This window comes from Homo sapiens, chromosome 7, assembly GCF_000001405.40.
Source record: "Homo sapiens chromosome 7, GRCh38.p14 Primary Assembly".
Classification (NCBI taxonomy): Eukaryota; Metazoa; Chordata; class Mammalia; order Primates; family Hominidae; genus Homo; species Homo sapiens.
In genome coordinates, this window is record NC_000007.14 from 141,419,423 (window position 1) to 141,433,973 (window position 14,551).

The 14,551-nt window shown below is 42.1% G+C and overlaps 1 protein-coding gene across 4 annotated transcripts in view, besides 2 other annotated features; it reads left to right on the forward strand.

The window, feature by feature from the left end:
- The window catches only part of TMEM178B (transmembrane protein 178B), a 437,233-nt gene that overhangs the window by 345,359 nt on the left and 77,323 nt on the right, over positions 1-14,551 (forward strand). The window lies entirely within an intron of this gene.
- Positions 10,674-11,182: an enhancer, noted in NCBI's record as "OCT4-NANOG-H3K27ac-H3K4me1 hESC enhancer chr7:141129896-141130404 (GRCh37/hg19 assembly coordinates)". NCBI's record gives its function as "activates a minimal SCP1, AML or CMV promoter by ChIP-STARR-seq in naive and primed H9 embryonic stem cells {active_cell/tissue: H9 hESC(naive and primed)}" and the evidence as "EXISTENCE:reporter gene assay evidence [ECO:0000049][PMID:30033119]".
- Positions 11,183-11,691: an enhancer, noted in NCBI's record as "OCT4-NANOG-H3K27ac-H3K4me1 hESC enhancer chr7:141130405-141130913 (GRCh37/hg19 assembly coordinates)". NCBI's record gives its function as "activates a minimal SCP1, AML or CMV promoter by ChIP-STARR-seq in naive and primed H9 embryonic stem cells {active_cell/tissue: H9 hESC(naive and primed)}" and the evidence as "EXISTENCE:reporter gene assay evidence [ECO:0000049][PMID:30033119]".

Here is a 14,551-nt window from a genome sequence, read left to right on the forward strand (position 1 = left end):
ACAGTCTGACTGCTTTACTATCCCCTGAATTCAGCCTCTCAACCCTGTTCTCTGCTATAGTGCAGGTCTTCATCATTTGTGGGATTGTCTTGTCTCTAAGACTTTCTTCCTCCCAGTCAGAACTCTACTCTGCAGCCATGGTCACCTTTCTAGAGAAAACAAAAACCTAACCAGCTTCTCCCCAGCTTAGACTCCTTCAGTGGCTTGCCATGGCCTTCGGGATGAAATCCAAGCTCTAAGCATGGCATATGGAGTCCCTGGTGAGTGATTGACCAAGTGAATTCCTCATTAAAAGCAGTTTAATTGAGCAAAAATCTCTATCCCCTTCTCTAGTCATCAGGATGGAAAATTGGAACATGTATTTATTCCCAGAAAGAGAACTTAGCTGGTTACAGCAAGTATATCTTTGTTTCTAACAGATCACTACGATCTATTATATGGCTCTAAGTCAGCATGTTATAATAATTACGTGGCAAAAAAAACCATTACACAGGAGTATATAGAACATTTACTCTTTCTCCTATTCATCAAATATGATAAGCAGACTCCTGCCTCAGTGCCTTTGCATCTGCTGTTCCCTCTACCTGGAATACTCTTCCCCCAGACATTCACATACCCATTCCCTCCCTTCCTCAGGTGTCTGCTTAGATGTCACCTTATTGAGAGCGCTTTCTTGACCTCCATATGTTAAATAGCAACTCTCCTACATCTACTTCATTACAGCTCATCCCCCAACCTACTTAATTTTTTCTCCATAGCATTTATCACTGCCCCCCCCCACTACATACACATATATATGAATATGCATGTAGTTTGTGTCTTTCTCTGGAAAGTGTGTTTAATGGAGCCAGTAATTCGGTTAGGTCCACTGCTTCACCTCTTGCACACAGCAGCTGCTTGAGAAACATGCATTGAATGAATAAATAAATGAATGTAGGATGAACCCAAAGAGGGAATTTCTGTTGATGAAACTTTTTTTCAAGTGAGAGGTAAGATACTGACTTTAGTTTCCTTCTACGGAGTTTCTTTTCTTGGCAAGATCTTTATTTGAATGAGCTTTAACCATCTGCTAAAAAAAGCCTGGGTCAACATAGCCTTCAAAAATAAGTCAATAGAGCTGCAGAGAAAGGCACAGGGGAAAGGAGAGGTCGACCGAGCCCACTCAATCTTTACAGGTTACTAACAAGCATCTCCTTAACAGGAGAGGGAATGAGTGGAGAGAAGGAAGCACTGCCTTTGAAGGAGGGAGGGGAGAAGGCTCTGTTACCTCAGGCACAGTGACTCCCAGGTTTGTGGGAGGTACACAAACCTGTTATCATTGATTTGATTTATGGTTCCTCAGCCTTCCTCAAAAATGGCTCCATGATGTATTATTAGTGTTTAAATAATGTTCTCTTAGTTTGCACATTTTGCTCCATCTCTTGAGATAAAGACAGGCTGGCATACTGCATACATACATGGCATTGAGAATCACAACTACTGGGGCAGAGTCATTTGGTCTACCCCCTAACTTCCAGGTAGCAAGGAATGTTATTCTGATGTCAGAAATTAGACAGGTAAACACAGAAATTAACCTGCTTCTATAAAGTAAGAACTAGAAGAAGGAGCTAGAGGCTATCTCCCGTTCCCAGGACAGCAGCCACTAGTATCCTTCAGTCCTCACTACCCCTAAACCCTCATTTTTCCTGCCATATTGCTTGATCCTGCCCTCCTATGCAATGGGCTTTGGAAAACATCCTTGCTTATATGTGGATGGAGGTAAGAACATACTCTTTAGGCCCCTTCTCCATCATGCTTCTAAATTAGAAAACAGAATTTGCTAGAATTTTAGAATTTAAAGATTTTTTGGGGGAAAAAATAAGTTGCTACTCTCACATTTCCACTTTGTAAAGACTGGTATATCCTGCACCTGTTAAATACACATTGGATGATACCAGTCATACTCACTGAGCCTTGTATTTGTTCCTCTGCCTCGTAGCATGGCAGTGAACACAAATCATCACTGGCATTTGTGGTAGCACTTTACAGTTTACAAAGGGCTTTCACAGATCTCATCTGATCAATGACTCTAGGAGACCACAGAGCACAGTGAATAAAAGCGTGGGCCTTGGTTGGAGTCAGACCAAGATTCTCACCCTAGTTCTGCTGCTTCTAAGCTGCCTGCTTGGGGCAAGTTCCTTATGATCTCATGGGTAAAAGGGAAATGAAAAGCTCATCAATTCTGGGGGAGGATTTAAATGTGACAATGTATAGAAAATTCTTAGAACATGCCTAGCACATCAGAAATCCTAGCTTTATCATCATCACTGTCATCATCATGATAATCATCATCATCATCATTATATCATTCTTGTCTCGGATATGACTTGCATAAGGTCATCTGTAAACAATTTATTTAAAAGACTGTACCTACAACTTTTTTTTTTTTCTCACTACAACCTTTTAAGCCCATCCTTTCTGAGCTGCCATATCCATTCCTAGGTGATACCTATGGGAGACTCCATAGATTTGGGGGTAAACTGTCACATATTCATAAGCTTTTATTTGTAGGTATTAAAATTTGATTCAGATCTAATATCGGAACCTCAGTCTTATATTAATATTTAGTTTACATCTTCTCCCTTTCCCAGCTCGGGCTTGACATTTTCTTAGAAACCTGCAATACGGAAAGAGATCTGTTCAGCTTCTTTATTTTTACGATTCTACCTGCTCCCTGTTAACCCTATTACTTCTGGCTCCTCCAGGGCTGCGGTTGGTGAAAGGAGGACAGGTAAAAGGCCAAGGCTCTGACTTGCCTGGTGTTATTGCTCTCCGGGCCCTCCATGTGGTGGGGCCCAAAGGCTGGCTCTCCCTCTCTTGTACAGGACTTTTGGGGTTCCTTTGGGAAAGCTTTGCAGGAATTGGTGTTGCACCATTGATTGTCTCCTGATGTGGGGAGGACACCTTCCAGCTGAGCTGGTTCTGCTCCCACTTCACCTCCCATTTCTGGTGCTACCTCACAATGGAGACTCTTCTTGTTGGTGTGATCGTACGCTAATGGGCAAAGCTGTAGGATGGAGTCTTTTCAAGGCGGTTTAGTCTTCATTGGCATCCACTTGGTACATGGAGAAACCACTGGATCCTTCCTCACACAGAGCCTGTGTTGGCTCTGTTGCCAGAGGCAGCATGAAACAGCCTCTGGCCTCATTGTTTCAGGCCACAGCTAGGCACCCTCCCCTGTGTCCTCTAAATTCTAGAGTACCTGCACATAGCTCTCTGTGTGGTTCTCTTGAGGGCCTTTTTCTGTCCTTGAGCCAGCTACCACCAGCTTGAGACGTGCAGTGGCTGGAGTGGGGAAGCTCCCATGGGGAGAGAATAGAAATGCAAGAAACTGTCACTCACCAACCTTCTGCGTCCATCTCCTGGTCTCTTGTTATATGTAAACTGAAGGCGGCGAGAGCACTATGAGTTGCAGAACTAGATCGGGGCACTTTGTAGCAAGCTCTACACAAGGTCTCACGCCTCTCTTTAGAACAGTGCTGTCCCATGGAAATATCGTGCAAACCGCATGTGTAACTTAAAATGTTCTATTAGCCACCTTACAGACACAAAAAGAAACAGGTAAAATTAATTTTCATTATTTATTTATTTATTTTGCAATGGAGTCTTGCTCTGTCACCCAGGCTGGAGTGCAGTGGCGTGATCTCGGCTCACTGTAACCTCCGCCTTCCAGGTTCAAGTGATTCTCTTGCCTCAGCCTCCCAAGCAGCTGGGATTACAGGTACCTGGCTAATTTTTGTATTTTTAGTAGAGACAGGGTTTCTCCATGTTGGCCAGGCTGGTCTTGAACTCCTGACCTCAGGTGATCTGGCCTGCCTCGGCCTCCCAAAGTGCTGGGATTACAGGCGTGAGCCACCATGCCCAGCCCATAATGTACTTTATTTAATCCAATATATCTAGATGTTCTCATATCAACATGCAATCAATATAAACAATTACTATTGAGATATTTTACAAAAAGTCATGCTGAGTCTTTGACATCTGGTACGTATTTTACACTTACAGCCTGTATCAATTCAAGTGCTCTACACCCACATGAGCTGGTGGCTACCATATTAGACTCTTCAGCTTTAGAATATGGAGGAGGAGGAGGGGGCTTGCCATCTATTGGTCTCAGCTTTGAGGGCTCAGAACTAAGAGTTTGTGACATATACAACGCTTTCCAACCAGGATGTGCAGAATGAGGACTCAGATGCTGGTCTTCTAGCCTTGAGTTCAGTATTTGTTTGTTTGTTCTTCCCATGCTGTCATGCTGTTCAAACGAATTGCCATGCTTTGTTCCCATGGACCTCAGTAGTTAAAGGGGCAGATTTGAGTAAGAAGATTTCTATAGTGACATTTGTGTTTTTTTTTTTTTTTTTTTTTGAAATGGAGTCTTGCTCTGTCACCCAGGCTGGAGTGTAGTGGCACGATCTTGGCTCACTGCAACCTCCACCTCCTGGGTTCAAGTGATTCTCCTGCCTTAGCCTCGCGAATAAGTGGGATTACAGCTGCATGCCACCATGCCCAGCTAATTTTTTTTTTTTTTGTATTTTTAGTAAAGATGTGGTTTCACCATGTTGGTCAGGCTGGTCTTGAACTCCTGACCTCAGATGATCCACCCACCTTGGCCTCCCAAAATGCTGGGATTACAGGTGTGAGCCACCACATGCCTGACCTCAACATTTGTATAAGTTTTGTTTGAGATTCCGGCATGGTCCCAAAGTGCCTTGCCACTAAAGTGTGAGATATAGTCAGACAACAGGTACTCAGGGAACCAGGCACACGTCACTGAAAGCATCACATGCAAAAAAGGCAATGGTGGCCCTGACACTTTAGAGCCCCATTCCTCCTTCCTGGCAATCAGCCAGTGTTGGCCTGCACTGGAGCTGCCAAGTAAAGGAAGCTCAGGCCTCCAAAGGTGAACATCTCCACAGTACATGCGCACTGTTGGCCAAAGAGGAGCATGGCAGGTCTGTAGCTTCCACTGTAAAAAGAAAATATTTAGTGGCAATATGTCTTTTAAAAGACAAAACTTATGAGACGCAATCGGTGGCCAGGCCTCTCTTCCATCAGAGCTCCAGTTAGTGCAGTTTGCCTCATGATCCGTGCTTGGAATTTTTTAAAAACAATAAAGCTCACATCTCTCAAATAACTCAAAAGCTGATTGTTAAAGTAACACATCCTTATTGTAGAAAAGAACAAACAAAACCCAAAATATCACAACCCAAAAAAGCCTCCCTGTTAACATTTGGTGTACTTTTCCTTTGCTTTTCCCACGTGGGTAGACATGCATGGCAGCACAGAGATACACCCGCAGTACTCAGATGGGGGTCATAAATGTAGGCTTGTGCATTATTCTTCATTTAATATTCTCTTATGAATTTTCCTCATGTCCTTCAAAAGAATACTTTTAATAGCTGAATAATATTCCATTACATTTGATTGAATGTCCAGTTCCCTTCTGGGGTTTGAAGTGGCACGGATCATGAAAAGCACTGAGGAATAGAAAGGGCATGGACAGACCAAGACACCTTCCCAGAGCTGCCTGTTACTGGCTGTGTGACCTTGGCCAACTAAAATCTCTTTGTCTCAATTTCCAAACCTACAAAATGAGAAAAATAGCGCCTACCTTATATAGTCGTTGGGAGGATGAATTGACATGTGCTATGCAAATTGCTCAACACATGCCTGCACTTAGTAAATGCATAATCAGTGTTAATTCCTATTTATCTTCCCCTTTCCCAGGCTTTTCAAATCCTTTGCCATCAGCCAAATCTCAGGCACCTGCAACATTTTTCTGGGTTGGCTAACACCCTCTAGGGTACCCATGTGTTTTAAAGCTCCCATCTTCTAATTGTTTTGTAGTAACCCTCTGGTGGAACATTCTTGCCAAGCAACCCCAAATTCCTGCACTTTGCACTCTGCACAGCTCTCAGTGATGTGTGATATAGGGAAGGAGAAATGGAAGCTTCTTTGGGGTGGGGTAGCAGATTGTACCAACCTAGTTTGTCTTCATCAGTAAAGACAGCCAGAGGACAGAGAACCAGACTCCAAGCTGGGTCTACCTAAGCACACCTGGTTGGCTGAGCTGCAGTTTCCTTTCATCCTTCCCTTCTGCATTTTCTGCTGTTGGCTTAGCAGCGAGAAAGGGGCCATTCTTGTGAGTTTTGGGTTTGCGACTCTGCCTCTTGGTCTTGCGACTCTGCCTCTTGGTCTTGCGTTTTACCCCCTTCTTTCTTCCCTCCAGGCACTTGTGTTACCAGCTGACCTAGCTTTCTTCAGGCGAGTACAAATTTTGCAATTTTTCTTTCATTGTTTTGACAATGGATTTGATTTGTATATGTCAGCCTCATATAATATCCCTATTTAGAGCAATTCTCTGATCCGGAGGTAGGACTGAGGAGGAGGAAGTGTCAAGCCTGTCTTCTGACCCAGAAACCACTTCTTGTTTCCACAGAAACTACCTTCCCCCCCTATCTCTTCCTGACTTGGGGGAGGGACAGTGCAGAAATGTCTGTTGGGTTCCTAATCTGTGGGCTATCATATGTGCTCATTAAACTTTATTGCTGTGTGTCATCTGGAATCTGGCCCCATGTTGATGTTTTCATTGTAGACAATAAAAACTATGTTGAATTATTAAGTGATAGTTAATGCTGGCTTTAAAAAATGAGATTGGAGAAGAGAAAAATTGACTTTAAGTTGCAAATATATTTAAGTCACTGAAGTGGATCCGCTCTCCTCACCCTACACTATGCCACGGTGCATACAGTTTTAGCAATTGTTGCAGAGTGGAATGGTGATCTCACTTAGCAAATAAATATTTAGTGAGCACCTGCTTATGTCAGGCAGTGCTCTGGAGACTAGAAAGACAAAACAAACCAAACATGAATGCAACCCTCAACAAGCTTAAATTTATTGGTGAGAGGGAGACATAAATAATTATAAAAAGATGTGGTAGTGATATCAACCAACTGCTCCAGGAACCCCAAGGACTGGATGTGAGTGTCTACTAAAGTACCATGGAAGTTTCCCAGAGACATTTACTTTTTAGGGAACTCTGCAAGGATGATGAGAAACTTGACAGATGGAGCCAGTGGGGACCCATGTTGGCAGAGAGCACAGTGTCATCATGGAAAGAGGAAGGGGAATGGCAGCTTGTTGTGACTAAAGCATGGGGGGCTTAGAGAAAGATGGTGATGCAGGGAGAGGCAGAGGACAGTTCTGAAGGGCCTTTTAGGGATCAAAGCTCCAACTCATGTACTTTTTCATGGAAACATAAAAACTATCTTATTTTGACATAAGAATAATTATTAAGTATAACTACATTATGTAGTTATATAGAGAGAAAACCCTAAACACTCCATTAAAAAGCTATATTTATTATAACTAATAAACTAATACTACATTTATTATAACTAATAAATTAAAGTTGCAATTTACAAAATCAACATACAAAAACCAGTAGCATTTCTATACACTAATAGGAAACTATTTGAAAAAGAAATCAAGTACAGTATAGTAGCTGCAAAAAATTTAAACACTTAGGAGTAAATTTACCCAAATGGGGTGAAAGATCTCTGCAATGAAAACTATAAAACACTGATGAAAGAAATTGAAGAAGACACTAATAACGGAAAGATATTCCATGTTCATGGATTGGAATAATTTATATTGTTAAAATGTTCATACCTACCCAAAGCAATCTAGAATTCAGTGCAATCCCCTATCAAAATACCAAAGACATTCTTCACAGAAATACAAAAAGCAATTCTAAAATTTGTATGGAATGACAGAAGACCCCAAATAGTCAAAACAATCCTGAGCAAATAGAAGCAAGCTGGAGATGTCATACTTCCTGAATTCAAAATATACTGCAAAACTATAGTAATCAAAACAGCATGGTACTGGCATAAAAACAGACCAATGGAACAGAATAGAGAGCCCAGAAATAAAGCCACATGTTTACAGCCAACTGATTTTCAACAAAGGTGTCAAGAACACACAATAGGGAAATGACAGTCTCTTCAGTAAATGGTGTTGGGAAAACTGAATATCTACATGCAGCAGAATTCAATTAGAACCTTATCTCTCACCGTATTCAAAAATTAACTCAAAATGGATTAAAGACTTAAACATAGGCCTTGAAACTATGAAACTACTGGAGGAAAACAGGGGAAATGTTTCATGACATTGGTCTGGGCAAGGATTTTTTTTTATATGAGACCTCAAAAGCACAGGCAACAAAAACAAAAATCAACGAATGGGATCAAACTAAAAAGCTTCTGTACAGTAAAGGAAACCATCAACAGAGTGAAGTAACAATCTACAGAATAGGAGAAAATAGCTACAAACTATACATCTGACAAGGGATTAATATCCAAAATATATAAGAAACTAAACAACCCAATAATAAAACAAACAAATAATTCAGTTTAAAAATGGGCAAAAGCTTTGAATAGACATTTCTCAAAAGAAGACATACAGATGGCCAACAGGTATATACAAAAATGCTCAATATCACTAATCGTCAGGGAAATGCAAATTAAAACTGTTAGAGCAGGTAGTTAGGTAGACATGACCAGAACAGGAGAGGACTCCCTGTGAATGCCAGGTGACCATCAGGTGATGGCCAGTCAGTTGTTAACTGTCTCTCTATTAATAAAATAATAATTGGTCATAGCTGGTGCCAGGGAAAGACAGTCTCCCAATAGATAGAAAACACCTAGCCTGACCAACATGGAGAAACCCTGTCTCTACTAAAAATACAAAAAAAAATTAGCTGGGCATGGTGGCACATGCCTGTTATCCCAGCTACTTGGGAGGCTGAGGCAGGAGAATTGCTTGAACCTGGGAGGCGGAGGTTGTGGTGAGCTGAGATTGTGCCGTTGCACTCCAGCCTGGGCAACAAAAGCGAGACTCCACCTCAAAAAAAAAAAAAAAAGAAAAAAAGAAAAGGAAAGAAAAAGAAAACAGATGAAGCTGGTGAACAGCAGCTTCCCAATAAGATCTCAGGAGTTGGGTGAGCAGGCTCAAGCATTCATACTAAGAGGCAAAATGGCAGCGTTTAACTGGTATATGACCTTCCTGTGAAAATGCTAGACCAGGTAAGGGAAAAATGCCTCATGGAGGATGTGCACAACTTTAGTAAACACACTGTGTGTGCAGCCCCTCCCAAGTCCTGGCAGGCCACCCCACGTGTGGACAGCCGCTCCAAGGGAAAAATCAAGGGGAGAGAAATGGAAACCCTGGAACCATGCCAATGTATAAAGCCCCATCTTAAGGGCCAAGCAGGGCACTTGGATCTCTCAAGTTGCCCGCTAGGCCCTCTTCCAAGTGTACTTTGCTTCCTTTCACCCCTGCTATGAAACTTTTCACTAAACTCTCACTCCTGTTCTAAAACTTGCCTTGGTCTCTTCCTCAGCCTTAAACCTACTTCTGCCCCTCAGCTGAATTCTTTCCTCCAAGGAGGCAAGGATTGAGTTTGCTGTAGACCCACTGGATTCACTGCTGGTAACAAAACCACAATGATATACCATCTCACCTCAGTTAGAATGGCTACTATAACAAAGACAAAGGATAACAAGTACTGAAAATGGAGAAAGGGAACCCTTATACACTCTTGGTGGGAATGAAATTAGTACAGCCATTATGGAAAACCATATGGAGATTCCTCAAAAAACTAAAAATAGAACTGCCATACAATCCAGCAATTCCACTACTGACTATATACCCAAAGAAATTGAAATCAGTATGTTAACGAGATATCTGCACTTTCATGCTCATTTAGATTATTCACAATAGCTAAGACGTGGAATCATATCACCTGAGTGTCAACCAATGGATGAATGGATAAAGAAAATGTAATACACACACACACACACACACACACACACACACTCATACAATAGAATATTATTCAGCCATAAAAAAGAATGAAATCCTGCCATTTGCAACAACATAGATGAACCTGGAGGACACTATGCTAAGTCAGGCACAGAAACACAAGTACTGCATGATCTCACTCATATGTGGAATCTAAAAAGTTGATCACATAGAAGTAGAGAATAGAACAGTGGTTACCAGAGGCTGGTGTGGTTAGAGGTTAGGAGGGTATGGGGAGATATTGGTCAAAGGATACATAATTACAGTTAGATAGGAGAAGTAAATTTCAAGAGATCTATTGTACAGTAAGGTGACTATTGTTAATGGTGATATATTATATCCTTGAAAAATACATAAAGAGTAGCTGTTACGTGCTCCTCCCACAAAAGTGATAACTGTGTGAGTTCATTTGTTGATGAGCTAGATTTAACCTTTGCATTTTGTATATGTACTTCAAAACATCATGTTGTACATGATAAAAACATAAAATGTTATCTGTCAATTAAAAAAGTGAAAAATATATAATTACATTATGATGCGGAACCAACTTACACCCTAGAAGAAAGTCATAGGCAAAACCTCCCATTATGGAATTCGCTGTTTTAGTTCTTCTTAACTAAATCATTGATGCTTTCCCAGCAGAGTCTCAGTCCTGCCCCATGTCTTTTCCTTCCAGATCAGTGCAGTGCTTACTGCCAGAGCCCAGGGTTCAAACAGCCTCTATAGCCACAGGTGCCTCTGCTATTAGCTGCTTTAGCCTCCAGCTGTTTTGGTCCTCGGAGGATAGGCAGCACCAGCTCCCTGGGGTGGATGCAACTCAGTATCAATAAATTAAGAAGTAATGCCTTCACCTTGGCCTCTCCAGGTACCTGAAAAGCATAAGGACAGCTTCCAGAACTCTGCTTTCTCTGGGTCCCAAATCCTTAATCAGGGGCATATCCCAACATGTTACTCAGCACCTTATGTGCTCATGTATGGCAAATTCGGGGGATGTAGCAGTACATGAAAAAATGAGAATTGCTTTAATTTAGGTGACTTCTATTTCTATTTACACTTATATAGCTCTAGCATTGCGCCAGGTACTATTATAAGCAGTTTACACATATTTACTTATTTAATCCTCTTAACAGCTCTTTGAAGTAGGTATTGTCATAACCTTCATTTACACATGTGGAAACAGACCCAGAGACGGGGACTAATTGGCTTGAGTTCCCAGCACCCTGGCTGCGGAAGAGCCAGGATTTGAATGGGAACAGCCTGATTTCTCCTGTTCCTGCCAGTTGCATCTCTATATGGCTTCCCAGAATTAAAACCCCCACTTCCTTCAGAGGTGGTTGCTGTGCAGTGATTGGGCCCTGGAATCTTCCCTATCCTTTGAAGTAGCTTGTCCTGGTTGATCCCGTGGCTAGCAGGTTCATTGCAGATTCTCTCTCTCTCTCTTTCCACCTCTTACTTCCCAGACCGACTGATCCTTTAGGACAAAAACACTTGAGTTCTGCCCTCACCACTTTGCTGTGCCCTTCAATTCCCGTGACCTTGATTTTTAAGGGCTTGATTAATTCGTGAATGAATGTCCGGCTCTCAGGGCAGCTAACACCCTCCTGCTTTGTAACCCAGGCCGCGTGCTCCTATCATGCAGAAGGGAGAATTTCCAGCAGACCTCCCCAGGAGGTGCCCATGTGGCCGTCAGAGGACCATGGCTCTGCTGGCCTCCAGCTGCAGTGCAGCACTACAGGCACTAGCTGCTGGGGCCATGAATCCAGCGGTATTGATGTGCTTCTTTCTCTAGCCCCAGTAATTACCATCGCAACAAGGTCTAACGCATACTTACCCTCACCATTTCTGTTTTTTTTTTTTCCATGAAAAAAAAATCCCAGTCATCATCATTATTTGTGCAAGGTCTTTAAAGAGCAAATAGAAAGACATTCAGCCCATATATTTTCTTTCTCTAAGTGGTGTTTATTTAAATGCAGATATCCTGGTTTCCTGTGTAGAGTTGCAAGCAATACCTATCCATTTAAATGTTAATAGGAGTGTAAACTTCAAAATCAAAATTTTTCCATGAGGGAGAACAGCTTTTTCTGGTTCTATTTAATGGTTCTCCTCGCCTTTCCTCCTCCACCTTCCCTCATTATCAACCTCCCTCTGCCCACTCCTTTCCACCACCCTGAACTCAATTCAACAAAGCATAAACGCACCTTTCTCATTTCAAAAATTAGAATGTTAAACATTAGGGTCATGGAATACAGATAATGGACTCAAGCCTGACATGATTCGTGAGGAGATTTTTCTCTATCTTGGCCTTTGCCTGCAGAGTCAAACTCACCATTCTGGGCTCTTTCCAGGGGGATTATTCTTAGGCCAGTCCCACATCATATTTTTCCAAGGCCTCAGAGTTAGGGTTTCCTCCTTGTTCTTTTCTTTTTCTTTTCTAAAAAGGCAGGAAGAGATGGGGAAAGAAATACAAGCTATATATATGTTCCTGAGTACAAAATACTGCTGTGGGCACAGTTAGCAATCACAAAGAAATAAAAAGGCAGTTTCTTACCTCTAAAGACAGGAGATTGACACATAGGTTAACGAGAATGGGCAGGAATACATGCACAGGCCTTTCCTTGGGCAGAGAAGCAATCAGGACTTACTCAAGTGCAAATAAAAAGCAACAAAGATTTTTTAAACAATGGAAATAATGTCTAATGCCTTTAAGTGCAAATATGGGATAGAATAACCTTTCTGAGGACCTTATGGGCCAAGTTTTGTGTGTGAATGTGATATCTGGCCTCATCTTCCTTTTCTTTCTTTTTCTCTCCTTCACTGCATCTTTTTTTTTTTTTTTTTTTTTTTTTTTTGAGACGGAGTCTCACTGTCGCCCAGGCTGGAGTACAGTGGCATGATATTGGCTCACTGCAACCTCCACCTCCTGGGTTCAAGCAATTCTCCCTGCCTCAGCCTCCCGAGTAGCTATGATTACCGGGGCATGCCACCATGCCCGGCTAATTTTGTATTTTTAATAGAGACAGGGTTTCACCATGTTGGCCAGGCTGGTCTTGAATGCCTGACCTCAGGTGATCTGCCTGCCTTGGCCTCCCAACGTGCTGGGATTACAGGCGTGAGCCACCACGCCCAGCCCTGCATCACTATTTTTATCCCACTCTACTGTGTGCGTTTTGTTAAGCCTGCTTAAGTCTTTTTTGGAACATGGCAGGACTATTAATATATAAGTTAGAATTGAGTATATAAGTTTCATAGATTTTGGTCCCATTATTTTATTTCAGGTATTCTTTTTGTTCCCCACCTAGTTCTTTTTTAATAGTATTCTGTTTTTGTTTCACAGAGGCAATATCTTTCTTCTCTTGTCTCTCTGCAGATATCAAAAATAATTTTGAAAATTTTTTTCTTCTCCCTGTAACTTGTTTCTGCACACTGTTTTTCTCCCCATTCATGGGCTTTTCTCAGATATATGAAGATGGTTACTTGTCTGCTCATGTTGAAAAATGCCTGCGGGCACTGAGTGAACCCCAGTTCAACTGGGGCTTCATTGTAGAGGGGTCTGAGGGGCGGATTCTGGGGCACTGCTAGTGTCTGTAGGTCTTTCCTCTGTGCTGGTCATCCCCAGAAAGTCTTCTCCCAGTCTCTAGGCTGGAGGGCAAAGCCCTGGCAGCAGGTCTGAGAGCCAAGTAGAAGAGAGCTGGGATCAATGCTAAAACTCAACATCCATATGCACACAGTCCGTAACTCCATCAGGGTGCTGTAGTGAACTTCAGTACAATACCCTGACCCTCAACTGTGCTGGCTGACCCTCACCTGTTGATCTCCAAACCTAAGGACTGTGTTTTACGACCCCCTCGTACCCTGATCCCAGGAGTCAAGGGAGAGAGGAATCCCTCAGTGATATGCAGTGGCCAAGGTGATGTAGGAATCTAGATCCATCTTAAATAACTTCCACCAAATCCCTGTTTTATTTCCCTTTCTTCTGCTTAACAACCAGATCCAAATGGACCTGCTGGTGCCAGTTCATGAGCCTTTTGGGGATTCCACAAGTTGGTTTTCAGCTTCTCTGATACTGACTTTAGATTTGACTCTTTAGGTCCAATTTTGACTCTTTAGGACAGCATCCGTCAGCCCTGCAGACTTTTGTTGTTGTCATCCCTGTCTCCTTTTCTATTTTCCCCATCCTTGAAGACTTCCGTCTTTCTAAGAAATCTCTTAACTGTAGTCTGGCTTGGTTTAGGAGGAGGAAATGCTAGACACATTTTTTTCAATCGGCCGTTATAACCCAGAAATCTTTAATTGCATTATTTTCTCATGTAACTCAAGAATGCAGCTCACTCTTCTTGTAGTACACTGGTTTTGAGATTATTTGTCAATAAATTATGTAATTTCTTTGGATATTGCTCTCCTCATCTGTAAAACTGGAACATTTCTTGTCCTATCTACCTTATAAGTTGTTGTTGCAGCTTCCCTGAGTTACCACATAGGTCTAAGGACAAAGTAACCAGCTGTTCATGCACGGCTCTGGCAAAATAAGGTTTTCAGGGTGATGTGAAAATCTTTCCAGGTCAGTGGAAATACACAGGCCTGGCCTCTGATTTTCATTCTTGTTTCTAGATCAACAGCTTAGCACAACCCTCAGCTTCTGCTGACAAAG